This window comes from Homo sapiens, chromosome 7 (assembly GCF_000001405.40).
Source record: "Homo sapiens chromosome 7, GRCh38.p14 Primary Assembly".
NCBI classification, from domain to species: Eukaryota; Metazoa; Chordata; class Mammalia; order Primates; family Hominidae; genus Homo; species Homo sapiens.
Window position 1 is genome coordinate 25092785 of NC_000007.14, and position 22089 is coordinate 25114873.

The 22089-nt window shown below is 43.9% G+C and overlaps 2 annotated features.

Moving 5' to 3' along the window:
- Positions 1376-1425: an enhancer, noted in NCBI's record as "active region_25763". NCBI's record gives its function as "activates an Ori minimal core promoter by ATAC-STARR-seq in GM12878 lymphoblastoid cells {active_cell/tissue: GM12878}" and the evidence as "EXISTENCE:reporter gene assay evidence [ECO:0000049][PMID:35858748]".
- Positions 1446-1525: an enhancer, noted in NCBI's record as "active region_25764". NCBI's record gives its function as "activates an Ori minimal core promoter by ATAC-STARR-seq in GM12878 lymphoblastoid cells {active_cell/tissue: GM12878}" and the evidence as "EXISTENCE:reporter gene assay evidence [ECO:0000049][PMID:35858748]".

A 22089-nucleotide genomic window follows, 5' to 3' on the forward strand; every position in this document is an offset into this window, starting at 1 on the left:
TTTCTATCTTCTCCCGGGATTTAGAAATTACTTCCGGCCGGGCGCGGTAGTTTATGCCTATAATCCCAGCACTTTGGGAGGCTGAGGCGGGCGGATCACGAGGTCAGGTGTTAGAGACCAGCCTGACCAACATGTGAAACCCCGTCTCTACTAAAAATACAAAAATTAGCCGGGCACAGTGGCGTGCGCCTGTAATCCCAGCTACTCAGGAGGCTGAGGCAGGAGAATCGCTTTCACTCGGGAGGCAGAGGTTGCAAACAGCCGAGATCGCGCCACAGCACTCCAGCCTGGGCGACAAAGCGATACTCCGTCTCAAAAAAAAAAAAAAAAAGAAATTACTTCCTTGACAAAATCTCCTGTCTTGAATTACTAGTGCCTTTTTGCTGTTATGAATGGAATTTTTAATCATTTAAAATTTAACTTGGTGTAGAAATGCAGTTTATTTGCATAGGTGTATCTTATACCCTGCAACTCTGACTTTTTCATTTCCTTCATTTTGTCATTGTGGTTGTTGATTTTCCTAAGTATGTCAATAATTGTGTAATCAGTACTTTAACCAAAAGGAAGTACAGTGAAAATAACTTTATTCCTTTCCCCCACAGGCTTAGTGGGACTGGTTCCTGCCCTTCCCTGTCCCGTGATTTCTCTGGCCAATCTTAATAATTGTTTCAGCTGCAACCCCAATTGGAACTCACACTGGCCAAAGTGGAGCAGCTCTTGGGGGCCCCCTGCTGGGCCAAGTGTGACCTCTTTAGTTTCTGCATGGCAGGGCTCATGGAGGGTTCCAGCATCAGGGTCATGGCAGCCAGGGCGGTGGGTGAGTGAACACCAGGGGTGCAGGCTGGGGCTATTTACCAACTAGTACAGGAGATTTGAGTATTTTGACAATGGGTCCGGCCATAATGGTGTGGACTGGCTCAGTATCAGCTCTACTCTTAGGTAATAAAAAAAAATCCTCTGGTCTTGTCTAGGGCCAAGCCACTAGTTAAAATTTTATCTCATGCATTAGTCAAAATGCAAATCTTTAGGCCGGGCGCGGTGGCTCACGCCTGTAATCCCAGCACTTTGGCAGGCCGAGGCGGGCGGATCACGAGGTCAGGAGATCGAGACCATCCTGGCTAACACGGTGAAACCCCGTCTCTACTAAAAATACAAAAAATTGGCCGGGCATGGTGGCGGGCGCCTGTAGTCCCAGCTACTCAGGAGGCTGAGGCAGGAGAATGGCATAAACCCGGGAGGCAGAGCTTGCAGTGAGCCGAGATCGCGCCACTGCACTCCAGCCTGGGCAATAGAGCGAGACTCCGTCTCAAAAAACAAACAAACAAACAAACAAAACAAACAAAACAAAACAAAACAAAAATGCAAGTCTTTAAGATGAAAGCCTTTCCTCTACCCCAACTTGAGGAAAGGTGGGAAGATCAGCCTCCTCTCTGTTTCCTAGCCTGTACCGTCTGCTCCTCTTTCCCAGTCACCGTGGCTCTGGCAGCTCCACGTTTGACAGGGTGGAGAATGGGGGAAGAAAATGATCAGAAGCGGGAAAGGTGGAACTTCACAGACACAGATGTAATCTGGCACTGCTGCCTCCTGAGGATTTAGTGGCAGGCAGGATCAAATGTTGATATTGCCGCCCAGTGGACACAAAATGTAATGCAGTACTTAGATCAGGCAGAGCTTTCTCCCCTCAGCCTGCAGCTGACTCAGTGGAAACACGAATACAAGCGTGAGCCACTGCGCCCGGGCTCAACCACCTTTTTAAATGATATTTTTCTTTAACTGTAGACAACTGCAAGTATTTTTAAAAAGAGAAAGAAAGCAGTATAATGAAACTCCCTGAACCCATTACCTGGCTTCAACAATTATCAGTTTATGGTAATCGTCTCCATCTTGTCCACTCTTGTTTCATCTGTTCCCCAACCTACTCCTGGCCTTGCCTCTAGGTTATTTTGATGCAAATCCCAGACATTATGTCATTTAATCTGTAAATATTTCATTGGAACACCTGAGAAAATCAAACACTTTCTTAATATCATCAGTTATTCATGCAGTCATTATTTACATTTTCCTAATTGCCTTATAAATTATTAAGTTAGTTGGCTTGAATTTGGACCCAAATAAAATCCATGCATTGTCATTGTTGATATGTTTCATTTTTAAGTCTTCCAACAATAAGTTGCCCTCTATCTTTGTTGTTGTTGTTCTTACGATTTCTTGAAGAAATAGGTCATTTGTCCCGTGGACTTTCCCACAGTCTGGGTTTTGTTCACTGCACCTATGTGGTCATTTCGTGTGTTCCTTTATCCCCTGTATTTCCTGTAAACTGTTGGTTGAAGCTGGAGGCTTCACTAGTTTTGGGATCAGTTGTGTTGGCAAGAAGGAGTTGCAGGTGGTATTCTGTATTCCTGTCAGAAGACAGAATATCCTGATATCTGTTTTGTTTTTGTGATGTTAGCCATCACTGATAATCACTGCTCAGATTCATTAATTCACTGAGCATTGGGAAATGGTGGCACCTGCTGCTCATGTATTAGCTTTCCAGGTAGTAACTTTTATAAAGAAAACTTTATCAACTTTTTGGTTACCAAGGTAAGAGTCCTTACAGGAAAGGCAGGACAAATAGTTGATCGTTTCTCTTTATTTACCAGTTTTCAAAAGCACTGTGTCAGTTTCCTGGCAGTGAGTTTTGTTTGTTTGTCTTAATATAATATTATCTTGAACTCATGCATTTAAACATATTTGATGTGTGTCAATCTGTTGTAGTGCTGTGGTAGACAGAATAATGCTTCCCCCAAAGAGATCTATGTCCTAATCCCAGGAACTTGTATGCTGTTATGTGGCAAAGAGGAATTAAGATTCCAGATGGAATTAAGGTTACTTATCAGCTGACCTTAAAATAGGGAGATTAGCCCGGATTATCCCAGTGGGCCAAACGTAATCACAAAGGTCTTTACAAATAGATAAGGCAGGCAAAAGAGGAGGGCAGAGTGATGTAATATGAAGACTCTACCATTGCTGGCTTTGAAGATGGAGGAAGGTGGCCACCAGCCAAGGAATGCAGGCAACAACCTCTAGGAGCTGGAAAATGGCAAGGAAACAGATTTTTCCCTAGAATTGCAGGAAGGAACACAGCCCTGCTGACATTTTGATGTGAGCTCAGTGAGACATGGGTTGGATTTCTAACCTATAGAAGTGCCACTTTGTGTTGTTTTAAGCCACTAAATTGTGGCAATTTTTTACAGCAGCAATAGAGAACTAATACCATTACTATCCTTATTGACACTCATATTAACCCATCTTTGGCCAGTGTTATCCTTTTCAAGTTGACTTCCAAGATGAGGGTTTTCTTGCTCCTGATATGACAAGATGTTCCAGGGCCACCTACGGGTTAACTGGTTAATATTTAACTTCTAACCCAACGTATCTGTTGAAACTTGTCCTCTCGAATGTCATTGGTGATTTTTAAATGGAAAAATCCAGTCCTTGTCCTTTTTGTTTTTTTCTGCAGCATTTGATACTACTCTCTTACTCTTTCCTTTTCCAAATGACATCTATCCTCCCTATCCTGTCATTGCCTTTCTTGGGTTTTATTTCCTAGCTCCCTAAAACTGTCCTTGGGCCTCATTTCTTTTTTCATTTCTTTCTTTCTTTCTTTTTTTTTTTTTTTTGAGATGGAGTTTCGCTCTTGTCACCCAGGCTGGAGTGCAATGGCGCAATTTTGGCTCACTGCAACCTCTGCCACCTGGGTTCGAGCAATTCTCCGGCCTCAGCCTCCTGAGTGGCTGGGATTACAGGCACCCGCCACCATGCCCAGCTAATTTTTGTATTTTTAGTAGAGACGGGGTTTCACCATGTTGGTCAGGCTGGACTTGAACTCCTGACCTTGGGTGATCCACCCCCTCAGCCTCCCAAAGTGCTGGGATTACAGGCGTCAGCCACCGTGCCCGGACTTTTTTTTTTTTTTTTTTTTTTTTTGAGACAGAGTCTTGCTCTGTCACCCAGGCTGGAGTGCAGTGGTGCAATCTCAGCTCACTGCAACCTCCGCCTCCTGGGTTCAAGCGATTCTCCTGCCTCAGCCTCCCGAGTAGCTGGGATTACAGGTGCATGCCACCATGCCCAACTAATTTTTTTGTATTTTTAGTAGAGATGAGGTTTCACCATGTTGGCCAGGCTGGTCATGAACTCCTGGCCTCAAGTGATCCGCCCACCTCGGCCTCCCAAAATGCTGGGATTACAGGCGTGAGCCGCTGCGCCTGGCCCCTCAGGCCTCATTTCTTCTTTCTCCACGCTCCTCCCCAGTAATCCCATCCATGCAATAATCTTTCCGTGCCAATGAGACCTAAACAGGTATCTTCCTCCCTATCTCTCCTAAGTACCAATATCTCATTTCCGACGGCTCGTTGATAGTTGCCACCTGCACCTCATATTCATGGCAAAACCTTAATTCCCATTGTCCCCCAACTCTTTCCTATTTCTATTAGTGGTTTTCTCTGACACACAGATTTAAAATCTGGGTATCATTTAAAAATCTTCTTTGTCCTTTGACTCTCCCAAAATAAGAAATATAACTGCTACCAAATGTAGTTTTATGTATTTATTTATTTATTTATTTATTTATTTTTGAGACGAAGTCTCGCTCTTTTCCCCCAGGCTGGAGTGCAGTGGTGCAATCTCGGCTCACTGCAACCTCCACCTCCCGGGTTCAAGCAATTCTCCTGCCTCAGCCTCCCAAGTAGCTCGGATTACGGGCACCAGCTACCACACCCAGCTAATTTTTGCATTTTTAGTAGAGATGGGGTTTTACCATGTTGGCCAGCCTGGTCTCGAACTCCTGACCTCAGGTGATCCGCCTGCCTCGGCCTCCCAAAGTACTGGGATTACAGGCGTGAGCCACTGCACCCGGACAGTACTTATTTATAATATTCCCATTTTTGTTTTGTTTTGCCATGGGAAATGAGAATTTTTAATGTTTGTTTTGTTCTTGAGCACTCCATCCCTGGACACAGACACCCACGAGAAGCTAAATAATTGTCAGAGGTTGCTTTGTGAGTATGGAACCAGAGCATAGGGGTTGGCTGATGTGAAGAGTTAATGGTTTTAGGGAAGTTAATGGTCTCCAGCTAAGACGGTGCAGGTCTTCTTATGGAATTGCAATATTTGAAGTCATTGCTAAGGCTCCTCCTTCGCCAAGAAAGCTTGCATGGTCCCTACTGATGCTTCTGCAACATTTCTTTCTATGCTCCCATGCCTCACCAACCTTTTTTTGATTTCTTCAGAAATGTTAAGACCGGCCGGGTGTGGTGGCTCACGCCTGTAATTCCAGCACTTTGGGAGGCCGAGGAGGGTGGATCACTTGAGGTCAGGAGTTTGAGACCAGTCTGGTCAACATGGTGAAACCCCATCTCTACTAAAAATCCAAAAAAAATTAGCCAAGCATGGTGGCATACGCTTGTAATCCCAGCTACTCGGGAGGCTGAGGCCCGGGAGGTGGAGGTTGCAGTGAGTCAAGATCGCACCACTGCATTCCAACCTAGGTGACAGAGGGAGACTGTCTCAAGAAAAAAAAAAGACAAAAAAAAAAAAGACCTTCAATCTGGTCTCTGGCAAATTTTCCAGGCACATAAAATCATAAAATTAACTGAGATGGATATCTACTAAACTAGAGGTAGATATAACTAGGAGAGAAGCTATAAGTCTTTTTAACACTTGGTATAACTTTTAAGAAATATCGCTTGAAAACAACTATTTGTATACATGCTGCTTATTTGTATACATGCTGCCACGCTACTTGTGGCCTGTGCATCACTGTGGAGTTCAGCGCCCTCTTGTGTTCACTATGAGGCCAAGCAATGCCAGGTCGCCCTGATTTGCCAAGGGGTATTTTTCAATGCATTTTTATTTTATGCGAAGTGTTAGAATTTTGGCTACCAGTTTTTAAAAGCTGCTGTCACCCTCAGAATCACGTGTATACAGAGCCAGCTCCAGGAAAAACTGAGAATAATATGAAGTTCTTAAGATCCCTGATTTTTTCTTTCACCCTACTCTCAAGAACACTTTTTTATTTTTTTATTTTTGTTATACTTTTAATTTCCTCATTTATTCCCTTCAGAGCTCCTAGATAATATCTGACCTTATAATGTGTTATTAAATCATCTAAATTTAAATTTGTGTAATTTTTAGGCTTCCAATAGGTATTTTTATGTATTAAGCATCAAAATATGTAGTAGATATTGGTGGATGGATGGAACAAAGAGAATCCAGTTAGTTGCAACAGGTAATGCAACTATGGGAGGGAGAGGTGGTGAGCAAGAAAGAAGAGAGCTGCGAGGCAGTTTCACTTTTCTGTGATCCACCACATAATACTCTGTGTTCCGAAAGAGCCTAGAAAATAACTCAACATAGGTGAGTGTAAAGACCATAGCCCTTGACAGCCCTGGGTTTGAAACCTCCATTCCTGTGCTCATCAGTTGTGCACACTTGGACAAATTACTTAACCTTCCTGAGCTCTAATTTTCTTTTTCATTTATTTATTTATTTTTGATATGGAGTCTCACTCTGTTGCCCAGGCTGGAGTGCAGTTGTGCCATCTTCACTCACTGCAACCCCCGCCTCCCAGGTTCAAGCGATTCTCATGCCTCAGCCTCCCGAGTAGCTGGGATTACATGTGCGTGCCACCATGCCTGGCTAATTTTTGTATTTTTAGTGGAGACGGGGTTTCACCATGTTAGCCAGGCTGGTCTCAAATTCTTGGCCTCAAGTGATCCACCCATCTCAGCCTCCCAAAGTTCTGGGATTACAGGCATGAGCCACCACATCTGACCCCTGAGCTCTAATTTTCTAATCTGTAAAACACTAAAAACACTTACTTCATAGGGCTGTAAGGAAGACTGAGATAATGTATGTAAAATATTGATAGAATATACAAAATGTGTATTTTTATTTATTCATCTTTAGAGATGGGGGTCTCAAAGTCCTGGCCTCAAGTGATCCTCCCACCTCAGCCTCCTAAGTAGCTGGGATTACAGGTGTAAACCACCTTGCCCAGCCAAAATGTATGTTAAAAATTCATGTTAGCGGGGCACGGTGGCTCATGCCTGTAATCCCAGCACTTGGGGAGGCCAAGGCAAGTGGATCACTTGTGGTTAGGAGTTCGAGACCAGCCTGGCCAACATGGCAAAACCCTATCTCCACTAAAAAAAAAAAAAAAATTAGCTGGGCATGGTGGTGCATGCCTGTAGTCCCAGCTAGTTGGGAGGCTGAGGCAGGAGGATTGCTTGAACTGGGGAGGCGGAGGTTGCAGTGAGCAGAGATTGCACCACTGCACTCCAGCCTGGGCAACAGAGCAAGACTCCATTTCAAAAACCTTTTAGAAAAATAAATAGATAAATAAATAAATTCATGTTAAATTTTTAAGAAAGACATAAGGCAATACTGAAAGGCCAAATCAGACTAACCTGAAATTGCTTATATTTGTAAAAGCGCTGTCCTGAATGATTCTGAGAGAGGAAAGAACATATCGTCCTGGTGAATGATCATTTGAAAACAAAGTGCCATAGCTCTCCAATGCACTGGGGAAAATGTTTAACTTCAAAAAAAAGTTGGCTTTTTAGTCAAAGGCAGGGAACTGACTGTGAAGAGAAAGATTCACAAACTCTTCCAGAATCTCAAAATAACTGACAGATACTAGTCACAGAATAGAATATTTATACCCTAGCTCAGTGTTAAGGCTCAAACAAATATCTAGAATTTACTAAACAGGATTAAATAAATTATACATAGTCATGAAATTCTTCAGACTCACTCTTCAGATAACATAAATAAACATTTAATTTAAGCCCTGTGTAAGACCCTTATTAGAAATTCCAGCCACAAGGTCTGTCAGGCCCACCAACTGCTTCCTAGGAAAAGTACCTTCCTGAGAGCCCTGAATTAATTGATATGGGCCCTAGGTGGTTTTTGGAGTAAGAGAAGGCTATCAGGACAAAGATGGGCACCAAGCAACTTATGAAGTGGCTTGGTTTAAAAAGCTCTACCTGTCAAGGAGAGTTAATCAAGTCAATTGAATTTTCTCACTTACGTGGTTGAATGGGGGCAGGGTCAGCTAGTCAATAGCAGGCACAGAGAAGACATCAAAAAGAAACAAATACTAAAAAGAGAAGCCATATTAACAGTAGCAAATTAGATGAAAGATCCAACAATGGCTGGGCGCAGTGGCTCACGCCTGTAATTCAAGCACTTTGGGAGGCCAAGGCAGGTGGATTACCTGAGGTCAGAAGTTCAGGACCAGCCTGGCCAACATGGTAAAACCCCATCTCTACTAAAAAATTCAAAAATTAGCCAGGCATGGTGGCAGGTGCCTGTAATCCCAGCTACTCAGGAGGCTGAGACAGGAGAATTGCCTGGACCCGGGAGGTGGAGGTTGCAGTGAGCCAAGATCGTGCCATTGCACTGCAGCGTGGGCGGCAAGAGCAAAACTCTGTCTTAAAAAAAAAAAAAAAAAAAGAAAAGAAAAGAAAAGAAAGATCCAACAACTGCTGAAGGGGCAAAACTGTTAATCTGGTCCCTAAAGCTGCTTCAGACTGTGAATAGAGTTACTTTTATAGGCCTATGCCATTCCAGCTTCCAACATTACAGTAAGTTTTTTTTCCAGTAAACCCCCATTTCTTGAGGGAGTCTGAGATCTCTGGTTCAGGCAATCAAATAAGATTAATTGACAGCAGTGTGAGAAATAGAAATTAAATGAGGTAGTCTCTGCCATCCCAGAGCTTAAATTATTGTTGGGGAGATCATATATATTAATTCATAGAATATTTACTAGTTTCATACTGCCAAATAGTATATTGTTAGGGATATAAAAAATCTTTGTTCTATTTACAAAGATAAATAGAACATTGACCCTGTCCTCCAGGGCCTCAGAGACTGTGATGGGAAATATACGATATGAAGGGGATGCCTAGCATGCAATGGGGGTGGGGGGAGTGGGTAAGAGATTGAAGATGATTCCAGTATCAGTGGTTACTGCTTCCTACTATTAGAAAAAAAAATACTACCCAATGTGTCCATCTATGTGGAGGAAGCTCAGTTAATAGAACTCATGGCATCTCCTCACTCCTTTACCTCTTCCTCTGTAAATTTAGGGAGAATTGAAATAGGCCTATATGGTTTGAATCTCTCTTTCCTTTTGGGAGCTAACATTTCAAGGAAGCAGACATTCTAACTCCTCTGTCCAGCACTGCCTGCAAGTGGGTGCTGAAATCTGTCTAACTCTGGGGTCCAGCTAGTAGGCTTGCTTGGTCTTGCCCTAAGCTTCCCAGCTTCATCTTTATCAGTAGATGAGGTGGTATTTAGTTTCCCATCTAACTTGTTCTTTGTTTTATTTTTCATTTTATTCAGGACTTGTGTGGGGAAAAGAGAGATCATTATTTGAACCCTCCTAGAGGCATCAACACCCACATTGGAGGTTTTTAAGACCATATGAACTCTTCCAACCACTACTGTCTAAGTCATTGATGAACACGGACCAAAGCCAGAACACAGATTAATCAGCAATATATGCCTTAAGGTCCGGGATAAAAAAGGATCTGTGTCAATTGTATTTTGCACTGAAATTTAAAAACGGATTTTCCAGTTGGTAGCAGGGCAGTAAGACATGTGGATTGTGGCTGAATCCCAGTAATAGTAGTGCTCTAGAGTTAAGATCCCCAAACCCTGCCATCCTCTAGCTCCTGACTCTGTGAGGCCCAGGCTTGTCCTTGAATTTCCACACGTTCCATGGGTTGCGTGTGTTGGGAGACAGTTCTCCATGAGTCTCTCATGCATCCACTCATCTTGTGAACAGAGGTACTGTTCTGGAGAATAGAGACTTAGTTCTGGATGATTTTTTTCAAGGATGTTTGTATAATGAACAGCCTTGGAAGATAAAGATAGTGTGTTCCTCTAGAGCAAAAGGCACGTTTTGTTTACCGACTAGGAAAATAAAGATAATTTCTCCCAAGGGGGCAAAGTCATTCAGGTTTAGGCTCATTATAAAAGATTCAGGTTCCCTGTGCTCTGGGATCTTTGTGTAATGTAACCCACTGCAGGCGTAGGTAATATCTGGCCATCTTTGTGTCACCCTGTGGGACTTGGAGTTAAGGAACTGACACAGAAATGATGATACTCTGGCTTTTGCTATTCTAGCAATTAATAAATTATCCCTTGTCTCTGACCAAGAGTCTTGTGTCTTTTGCCAGCATCCACAAAATGGTGGCAGGCTAACTTGTTAGCTTCCAAGTAGAGTAAAACCTCAGAATCTTTATTATTATTATTATTATTATTATTATTATTATTATTATTATATTTTTGAGACAGGGTGTCACTCTGTCACCCAGGCAGGCTGGAGTGCAATGGTGCAATCATAGCTCACTGCATTCTTGAACTCCTGGCTCAAGCGATCCTCCTGCCTCAGCCTCGCAAAGTGCTGACATTACAGGTATGAGCCACTATGCCTGGCCTTCAGACTTTTCATTATTGATAGTATATCTTATTCTTTAAAAACCCAAACCTCCAAAACTTTCCTTTATCTGAGATATCTTGATGAAATCTCTTTTCTTTGCTAGGAGCCCTGACTAGAACATATTTAAAACAAATCGTGCTGGAGAAAAAGGCAGTTCCAGCTATAGGAGTGACACAAACGTTAACTGGGTTTGGGAACTAACAGCACATGTAGACCTACCTGGAAGAGTCCAAGGAGTCACTCCAGTGAGGGACTAGCTGGGTATTTGCATAGGCCACGATTCCACTTCTTTGTCTACATCTTTTGCTCCTCATCTATGCATAGCCCAGAGGAGGTCAGTAGTGCCCCTTGCCCCATCAGCAAGTCAGCAACGATTGTACCAATAATCTCTTTTTCTTTTGAGAGATAATGTACTTAAAGCTTCCAATCTTCTTTGTGTGTTCTCAGTCACTAACTAGTACTTAGGCATAATATTTGTATATATTTATGGGGTTCAATGTGTTGTTTTGATATATGCATACACTGTAGAAAGATTAATTCAAGGTAATTAACACATCCATCAACGGCTTATCATTTTTGTGGTAAAAACATTTAAACATCTACTCTAATAGCAATTTTGAAATATACATTACTATAGTCACCCTGCTGTGCAATAAATGACTAAAACTTTGTATGCTTTGACCATTTCCCCTTTTTTCACGCTCGTCCCACCCACCGGCCAGCCTCTGGTGACCACCATTCTACTCTTTCCTTCTATGAGTTCGGGTTTTTCAGATTCTACATACAAGTGACATTATGCAGTGTTTGTCTTTCTGAGCCTGGTTTATTTCACTTAGCATAATGCCCTTCAAGTTCATCCATGTTCTCACAAATGGCAGAATTTCCTTTTTATTTTTAATTTAATTCATTTATTTATTATCATTATTTTTGAGACAGAGTCTTGCTCTGTCACCCAGGCTGGATTGCAGGGATGTGATCTCGGCTCACTGCAACCTCTGCCTCCCAGGTTCAAGCAATTTTCTGCCTCAGCCTTCTGAGTAGCTGGGATTACAGGCAACGGCCACCATGCCCGGCTAATTTTTGTATTTTTAGTAGAGATGGGGTTTCACTGTGTTGGCCAGGCTGGTCTTGAACTTCTGACCGTCTGCTCCACCTGCCTTGGACTCCCAAAGTGCTGGGATTATATTTATTTATATTTTTCTTGAGACAGAGTTTCACTGGTTGCCCAGGCTGGAGTGCAATGGCGCAGTCTCAGCTCACTGCAACCTCTGCCTCCCAGGTTCAAGTGATTCTCCTGCCTCAGCCTCCCAAGTAGCTGGGATTACAGGTGTCCATCATCAAGCCAGGCTAGTTTTTTTTTTTTTTTTTTTTTGAGATGGAGTCTTGCTCTGTTGCCCAGGCTGAAATACAATGGTGTGATCTTGGCTCAACACACAACCTCTGCCTCCCAGGTTCAAGCGATTCTCTTGCCTCAGCCTCCCAAGTAGCTGGGACTACAGGTGTGCACCACCATGCCCGGCAACGTTTTGTATTTTTAGTAGAGACAGGGTTTCACTATGTTGGCCAGGCTGGTCTCGAACTCCTGATCTCGTGATCTGCCCACCTCAGCCTCCCAAAGTGCTAGGATCACAGGTGTGAGCCACTGTGCCCAGCCTAATTTTTGTATTTTTAGTAGTGACGGGGTTTCACCATGTTGGGCAGGCTGGTCTCGAACTTCTGACCTCAGGAGATCCACCTGTCTTGGCCTCCCAAAGTGCTGGGATTACATACATGAGTCACCGTGCCCAGCGAGAATTTCCTTTTTAAAGGCTATCTAGTATTCTATTGTGTACATAGACCACATTTTCTTTATCCATTCATCTGTTGATGGAAGGCATAATATTTTTAAATTTTATTATCAGCCTCTAAACATGTCCTATGTTGTCACTGCATTTTAACTGTTCAGTCAAGGTGATGGACCATTCTGAGACATCCACATTCTCTCTGGGGACCCATGGGTAGTTACAATGACTGACCAGGGTTTGAAATTATGTAACATCAGATACTGAGAATTAAGGGCTAGGAGGCAGAACTGTATTAGGAAGGGCAAGAGTTTTGACGTTGGAGAGTCTTGACTTTGAATCTTAGTTCTATAACTTACTAATGAGCAATCTAACATCGCTTAGCTTCTGTTTCCTGATTAAATAAAGTGCATTCAACAGTTACTGCCCCCGCCCCCAATATGCACAGGATTAAGTGCTAAATGAGACCAGGCATAGAAAACCCCTGGTATCCATGCAATTGAAGCACAAAATACCATAGTTATAAAATGGCCACCATTATTGTTTTTAATAGGGATCTTTGACTCTGCTTAGCAAAATAGTCACAAATTGACTAATTTACAATCCATAGAAGAGAATTCAACCTACGAGAGGGCTATCAAACCTTTTATCTTGGGAATAAATGGAAAAACAGAATGCGATATATCTGTGAGTGTCCAAATGTGTTTTCTTCCATAATTTATTTGGAGCAGGCACAGCATTTACTACAGAATTTTAACAAGGAGACAGGAGTGGGAACCACTACAAAATAAAATCACAGGATTTAGAAAGCAGGCAATCCTGCTTTTGAGAAAAGTAAAGAAAGTCCAAGTATTGTTTACTCTGGCCTGGGATGTAGAGGGAGGCTAGTTTGGGGATCTGGAAATAAATGGGACTGAGATGCTGGGAGATTGTGAGGAAAGACAATGTTATTCTGCTGGCATTAAGGCAGGGCTGAGATGTTAGGCAAGTTCTTTATAAGGGCAGGTCATCTGTAAGTGAACCTGCAGGTCCAAGATAAAGAGGGAGGGCTGTGGGGAGTTGATGAGGCCTGAGGTCCACCTCTTTCTTGTGTGGAGCCAAAGATGAAGTATCTTGCAGCAGAGCACTCCTACTGAGAATGGTAAGAAAAACCAGCGTTGCTTTCTTTCTTTCTTTTTTTTTTTTGAGACAAATTTTCGCTCTTTTTGCCCAGGCTGGAGTGCAATGGGGCGACCTCAGCTCACTGCAACCTCCACCTCCCGGGTTCAAGCGATTCTTCTGCCTCAGCATGCTGAGTAGCTGGGATTACAGGCACACACCACCACACCTGGCAAATTCTTTTGTATTTTCAGTAGAGATGGGGTTTCACCATGTTGGCCAGGCTGGTCTGGAACTCCTGACCTTAGATGATCTGCCCGCCTTGGCCTCCCATAGTGCTGGGATTACAGGCGTGAGCCACCGCGCCTGTAAAAAAACCCAACTAGGGTTTTGTTTGTTTGTTTGTTTGTTTTGTTTTGTTGTCTTTTTAAAAATCTGCTTGAAGATAATGGAGAAGAAATCAGGACTTGAAAGGAGAAGACCTTGGAGAAAGAATTGCAAAGAGAGGTGAGGTGACATTCTGTAGCTACATTTTTCCTCTGAGTGATTACCAGTTCTGGGTGTGAAGCAAAAGCCTAAGAACCCAGGGACAGGGCTGGGGTAGAGACCCTCTCCTGAAAGGCAGAGAAACCATAGAGCTCTTGGCAGTATCTTGGGGATAAAGAAACAATAACCAGAGACTTGAAGGAGGAATATCTCAGTGAGAAGGAAGGGGCAGAATATGTGCCCAACAGCCTACCCTTAAAACATTTGCTGCCGGGTACAGTGGCTTACGCCTGTAATCCCAGCACTTTGGGAGGCCGAGGTGGGCAGATCACCTGAGGTCAGGAGTTCGAGACTAGCCTGATCAAATGGAGAAACCCCGTCTCTACTAAAAATACAAAATTAGCTGGGCATGGTGGCACATGCCTGTAATCCCAGCTACTCAGAGGCTGAGGCAGGAAAATCGCTTGAACACGGGAGGTGGAGGTTGCAGTGAGCCAAGATTGTGCCATTGCACTCCAGCCTAGGCAACAAGAGCAAAAACTCCGTCTCAAAAAAAAGACATTTGCTACGTTTTCAAGCTGAACAAGGCAGGAGGCTAAGAAGCCCAGCAGAAAGTTCCTAAAGAGCTGAACAGAGTTTTTGTCAAAGAAATAAAGTTAAAGACTTGCCTTAGGATAGGCCCAGTCAACTCCCTAGGCTCTGTTAGAACTCCAAAAAGCTACACTTTAAGAGTGGAGTTGACGGTGGCTCACGCCTATAATCCCAGCACTTTGGGAGGCCGAGGCGGGCAGATCACAAGGTCCGGAGATTGAGAACATCTTGGTCAACACGAGGAAACCCCGTCTCTACTAAAAATACAAAAGTCAGCCAGCGTGGTGGCGTGTGCCTGTAGCCCCAGCTACTCTGGAGGCTGAGGCAGGAGAATCGCTTGAACCCGGGAGGTGGAGGTTGTAGTAAGCCGAGATTGCGCCACTGCACTCCAGCCTGGGCGACAAGAGCAAAACTCCGTCTCAAAAAAAAAAAAAAAAAAAAGAAAAAAAGAAAAAGAAATAAAAGAAGAAGAAGAGTGGAGTTGAATAGTGAGACCCCGTCTCTACAAAAAATTAAAAAAAAAATTAGCCGAGCATGGTTGCGAGTGCCTTTAATCCCAACTACTCAGGAGGCTGAGGTGGGAGGATTGCTTGAGCCTGGAATGCTGAGCCTGCAGTGAGCCCTTGTCGTGCCACTGCAGCTTGGACGATAGAATGACACCCCATCTTAAAAAAAAAAGTGGAATTGAGCCAGAGGTAAAAGTCTTTCCACATTTTCAACCCAGCCTTGAGTCAGCACAGTCTCTAAACGGATTAAGATAATCATTCCATCTAACAAAAGAAAGGGTAAACCTTCCCTGGAGTAAGATAACCTACAGAGCCACTATCACTTTTCATAGCCCAAGTCAGCATTCAATTAAAAATGACCTGGCATTTCAAGAAAAAGGACAAAATGACTGAAAACGGAGAGAAATAAAAGCCAACAAGTTCACAAATGATCCAGATATTGATGCTATTGAAAAGGGATTTCGGCTGGGCACGGTGGCTCAAGCCTGTAATCCCAGCACTTTGGGAGGCCGAGGCGGGCGGATCACAAGGTCAGGAAATCGAGACCATCCTTGCTAACATGGTGAAACTCCGTCTCTACTAAAAATACAAAAAATTAGCTGGGCGCGGTGGCGGGCACCTGTAGTCCCAGCTACTCGAGAGGCTGAGGCAGGAGAATGGCGTGAACCCGGGAGGCGGAGCTTGCAGTGAGCCGAGATAGCGCCACTGCAGTCCGGCCTGGGCGAAAAGAGCGAGACTCTGTCTCAAAAAAAAAAAAAAAAGAAAGAAAGAAAGAAAAGAAAAGAAAAGAAAAGAAAAGGGATTTCAAGTTATGATTAATAACAAAATAGATTTAATCAGGGAATTGGAATTTATAATGATCATGACTGGAATGGCTTAATATGGGAGGTAGGGAGACTAGTTATAAGACTATAGCAGTTTCTCATCCTTGGTGCTATTGATGTTTTGGGCCAGATAATTCTTTGTTGTGGGGGCTGTCATGTGCACTGTGGATGTTCAGGAGCATCTTTGGCCTCTAACCACTAGATGCCAGTGAGTAGCAGCCCCCCACACAGTGGTGACAATCAAAATGTCTCCAGACATTGCCAAATGTTCCCTAGGTGACAAATTTGCCCCCAGTTGAGAACCACTGGGCTACAGTAATAGCACAGATGGAAGATATGCAAGCTTGAATCAGGAACTGATTTGAAGGATAATGCATAGAACCAAAAATACCCAGTGATGAGTGAGGAGGAGAGAATAAGACAATTTAGTATATATGAGTAATTTCTGGTTTGGATGGTGTAAAGGTAGGCAATATAAGAGGATCAGGTTTTGGGAGAAAATTAATGAATTTATTTTGGATATGTTAGGTTTGAGGTGCTTGTGTTAATTTCCCACCACTATTGTAACAACTTACTGTACACTTTATCCTCTTACAGTTTTGGAGGTTAGAAGGCCAAAATGAGCCTCAGTGGGCTAAAAATCAGGGTGAAAACAAAGCTGGTTCCATCTGGGGATTTGATAAGGGAATCCATTCTGATATGGTTTGGCTGTGTGCCCACCCAAATCTCAACTTGAATTTTAGCTCCCATAATTCCCACATGTTGTGGAAGGGACCCAGTGGGAGATAATCGAATCATGGGGGTGGCTTCCCCCATACTGTTCTCGTGATAGTGAATAAGTCTCACAAGATCTGATGGTTTTATAAGGGGAAACCGCTTTCACTTGGCTCTTGTGAAAGGAAAATATCTTGGCTGCAGTGAGCTGAGGAAAAGGAAATTCAAGCTGGAAACTGCTCAGGGCTAACCTCCCTCCCATTCTATTCAAAGTCATTCCTCTGTTCACTGAAATAGATACATATTCTGATTGCCTCCTTTGGAAAGGCTTATCAGAAAGTCAAAAGAATGCAACCATTTGTCTCACCTACCTGTGACTTGGAAACCCCCTAACCAATGTACTTTTTATATATATTGATTGATGTCTCATGTCTCCCTAAAATGTATAAAACCAAGCTGTGCCCCAACCACCTTGGGCACATGTCATCAGGACTTCCTGAGGCTGTGTCATGGGTGTGCATTTTCAACCTTAGCAAAATAAACTTTCTAAATTAACTGAGAGTTGTCTCAAATTTTGGGGGTTCACATTCTCATTCTCTTTTTGCTAGCCGCCACGTAAGATGCCCCTTTGCTCTTCCTTCATCTTACGCCATGATTGTGAGGCCTCCCCAGGCATGTGGAACTGTGAGTCAATTAAATCTCTTTCCTTTATAAATTACCCAGTCTCAGGTATGTCTTTATCAGCAGCATGAAAATGGATTACTACAGTAAATTGGTATAGAGTGGGGTGCTGCTGTAAAGATACCCAAAAATGTGGAAGTGACTTTGGAACTGGGTAACAGGCAGAGGTTGGAACAGTTTGGAGGGCTCAGAAGACAGGAAAATGTGGGAAAGTTTAGAACTTCCTAGAGCCTTGTTGAATGGTTTTGACCAAAATGCTGATTGATAGTGATATGGACAATGAAATCTATGCTGAGGCGGTCTCAGATGGAGATGAGGAACTTGTTGGAAATTGGAATAAAGTGACTCTTGTTATGTTTTAGCAAAGAGACTGGTGGCATTTTTCCCCTGCCCTAGAGATTTGTGGAATGTTGAAATTGAGAGAGATAATTTAGGGTATCTGGTGGAAGAAATTTCTAAGCAGCAAAGCATTCAAGAGGTGACTTGGGTGCTGTTAAAACCATTCAGTTTTAAAAGGAAAACAGAGCATAAAAGTTTGGAAAATTGCAGCCTGATGATGCAATAGAAAAAAAAACCTCATTTTCTGAGGAGAAATTGAAGCCCGCTGCAGAAATTTGCATAAGTAACAAGGAGCCAAATGTTAACTGCCAAGACAATTGGGAAGATGTCTCCAGGGCATATCAGAGACCTTTGTGGCAGCCCCTCCCATTACAGGCCTGCAGGCATAGGAAGAAAAAATGGTTTTGTGGGCCAGGCCCAGGGCCCCTCTGTGCTGTGCAGCCTAAGTACTTGGTGCCCTGTGTCCCAGCCACTCCAGCCATGGCTAAAAGGGGCCAAGGTACAGCTCAGACTTCAGAGGGTGCAAGCCCCAAGACTTGGCAGCTTCCACGTGGTGTTGAGCCTGCAAGTGCACAGAAGTCAAGAACTGGCCAGGCACAGTGGCTCATGCCTGTAATTCCAGCACTTTGGGAGGCCGAAGTGGGCAGATCACCTGAGGTCGGGAGTTCGAGACTAGCCTGACCAACATGGAGAAACCGCGTCTCTACTAAAAATACAAAATTAGCTGGGCGTGGTGGTGCATGCCTATAATTCCAGCTACTCAGGTGGCCAAGGCAGGAGAATCGGTTGAACCCAGGAGGTGGAGGTTGTGGTGAGCCGAGATTGCATCATTGCACTCCAGCCTGGGCAACAAGAGCGAAATGCCATCTCAAAAAAAAAAAAGACTGAGGTTTGGGAACCTCCACCTAGATTTCAGAGGATATGTGGAAATGTCCCTAAAGTTTGCTACAGGGATAGGGCCCTCATGGAGAACCTCTGCTAGGGCAGTGTGGAAGGGAAATGTGGGGTTGAAGCCCCCACACAAGTCTCCACTGGGCACTGCTTAGTGGAGCTGTGAGAAGCGGGCCACCATCCTCCAGACCCCAGAATGGTAGATCCACTGACAGCTTGCACTGCGCACCTAGAAAAGCTGCAGACAATGCTAGACCATGAAAGCAGCCAGGAGGGAGGCCATACCCTGCAAAGCCACAGGGGCAGAGCTGCCCAAGACCATGGGAACCCACCTCTTGCATCAGCATGACCTGGATATGAGACACAGAGTCAAAGGAGATCATGTTGGAGCTTTAAGATTTGATTGTCCTGCTAAATTTCAGACTTGCATGGGGCCTTTAGCCCCTTTGTTTTGGCCAAATTCTCCCATTTGGAATGGCTGTATTTACCCAATGTTTGTACCCCCATTGTATCTAGGAAGTAACTAACTTGCTTTTAATTTTATAGTCTCATAGGCAGAAGGGGCTTGCCTAATCTCAGGTGAGACTTTGGACTGTGGACTTTTGAGTTAATGCTGAAATGAATTAAGACTTTGGGGGACTGTTGGGAAGGCATGATTGGTTTTGAAATGTGAGGACACAAGATTTGGAGGGCCCAGGGTGGAATGATATGGTTTGGCTGTGTCCCCACCCAAATCTCATATTGAAATTTTAGCTCCCATAATTCCCATGTGTTGTGGGAGGAACCCTGTGGGAGATAATTGAATCATAGGTTTGGTTTCCCCCATACTGTTCTTATGGTACTGAATAAGTCTCACAAGACCTGACAATTTTATAAGGAAAAACCCCTTTTTCTTGGTTCTCATTCTCTTTGCTGGCCACCATGTAAAACACTCCTTTGCTCTTTTATCATCTTCCACCATGATTGTGAGGCCTCCCCAGCCCTGTGGAACTGTGAGTCAATTAAACCCCTTTCCTTTATAAATTACCCAGTCTCAGGTATGTCTTTTATCAGCAGCATGAAAACGGACTAATAAACATTCCTTGCCTCTTTCAGCTTCTAGAGGCTGCCAGTACTCCTTGACTGTGGCCACCTTACACCAGTCTCTGCTTCCTCTGTCACACTGCTGCCTTCTGACTCTGACTCCTGCTTCCCCCATTTATAAGGATATTTGTAATTATATCAAGCCCATCTAAATACTGTGGGGTATACTCCCTATCTCAAGATCCTTAACTTAGTCACATTTGTAAAGTCCCTTTTGCCATACAAGGTACCATTCACAGGTTCCAGGGATTAGGGCATGGACACGTTTGAGCCCTTATTTAGCCTTCCACAGTGTCCGTGGGAGAGCTCAGATAAATATGTCTAAAAGACAGTTGAGTGTATAGCCGTTGAGCTCAAGACAGATTTGCACTGTGGATATGAAGTCATTGGTGTTCTTAAGGCATGCGTGTGGATATTGCCAGGGGAAAAAAATATACAGAAAAATTTTTGAAGGCATAACTTTATGAGTCACTATTACATAAGGAGTGAGTGTATCAGAATTAGTGGCCGGGAGTGGTAGTTCACGCCTGTAATCCCAGCACTTTGGGAGGCCGAGGTGGGTGGATCATGAGGTCAGGAGTTCAAGACCAGCCTGGCCAAGATGGTGAAACCCCCTCTTTACTAAAAATACAAAAATTAGCCGGGTGTGGTGGTGGGCGTCTGTAATCCCAGCTACTCAGGAGGCTGAGGCAGAGAATTGCTTGAACCTGGGAGGTGGAGGTTGCAGTGAGCCGAGATCGTGCCACTGTACTCCAGCCTGGGTGACAGAGTGAGACTCCATCTCAAAAAAAAAAAAACCAAAAAAACAAAAAAATTAGTATCAGCTGCATATTACAGAAATTGAAATGACAATAGTTTAAATAAGAAGGGCAATTCTTAAATTGTTAAAGAAGTCTGAGTCAGCATGGCAGCTTCATCACTTCCCCAGTGTGCCAGGTCCTTCTGTCCTTGTGTTCTGCCATCCTCAGGTGTGTGGCTTCCATCCTCAGTGGTGCCAAAAACCCCAGTTGGCTGCCAGTGGAGCTTCAGCCACTCCATCCCGGTTCTAGGCAGGAAAAGGAAAAGCAAAGGGCAAAAGGGCAGTCCTCCTATCTAAGTCAGGTCTCCAGAAGATTTCCCAGAAGTCCCACCCAACTGACTTCCACTTGACCCATTAATCACGTCTATGGAAGTTGGACAATGTAATCTCTTACAGGTACATTTTTCCCTGAAAAGAACCAAAGTTCTGTTACTAAAAATGAAGGAGAGAATGGGTATTGAGTAGACCAACAGCAATCTCTGCAAGACTGGACAAAAAAGAGGCCTGCAGATGAAGTTGAGAAGGAATGACCAGTAAATTAGAAGAACCAATGGTGGGGAGGCTGTTTCCTGAAGGGCAGTTCCCTGCCTTCCTATGAACTCAAAAGGTAGTTAGATTTTAATATAGCCCCTGCTGTGTAGAAGGCCAAGAGTAAAGACATTAGCTCTCCACTTCCAAGGTATTCTGATGGAGAACCAACTTGGGTGGAGCGGGGAACTGCTTCAGCTGACAGGGTCCCTTAGGAAATCACATACCTTGGCTGTATTCTCTTGTATCTAATACAGGCATTGGTGCTAACCTGCTTCATCAAGTTTAGCATAATGAGTAGGAAGCTATCAGAATCTTCAGGCAGGATATCTACAAAAGGAATCTGGCATGTACAGCCTACATTTGCTTTATAATGGTAAAAGACTCTCTGAATCTTTTATTAAGACAGGGTCTCACTCTGTTGCCCAGGCTGGAGTGCAGTGGCACAATCATAGCTTATTATAAACCTTAACTCCTAGGCTCAAACGATGCTCCTGCCTCAGCCTCTCAAGTAGCTAGGGCTACAGGCACATGCCACCATGCATGGCTAATTTTATAAGAAATTGTCTGTAGAGGTGGGGTCTTGTTGTATTGTCCAGGCTTGTCTCAAACTCCTGCCTCAAGTAATCCTTCTTTTTCAGCCCATAGCATTGGGATTACAGGCATAAGCCACCATGCTCAGCCTAAATGAATCTTTCCCTGACCTTGAGGTACCGCACAAAAAACCCTCCTTCATTCTTATTTTGAGACATACCAGGTTAGGAGGGGGTGAAATGGGCTGGCCCTGTCACTTCCCACTAAGCACTGGTTTTTTAAATATCTTAACCTAGTCTAACTCAGGAGACTCATAAATTAAAAATCTCTCCCATAGGTCTCTTCCTATACCAACTCTAACCTTTGTACTCAACATACAGTGTTTGTCCGGCTAGCACAGTGATTTTTTGTTATCACCATCACATATGCCCCATTCAAGAATTATAGGAGGTGCCCAGGTGCGGTGGCTCATGCCTGTAATCCCAGCACTTCGGGAGGCCGAGGCGGGAGGATCACGAGGTCAGGAGATCGAGACCATCCTGGCTAACACGGTGAAACCCCATCTCTACTAAAAATACAAAAAATTAGCCGGGCATGGTGGCAGGCACCTGTAGTCCCAGCTACTTGGGAGGCTGAGGCAGGAGAATGGCGTGAACCCGGGAGGCGGAGCTTGCAGTGAGCCGAGATAGCGCCACTGCAGTCCAGCCTGGGCGAAAAGAGCGAGACTCTGTCTCAAAAAAAAAAA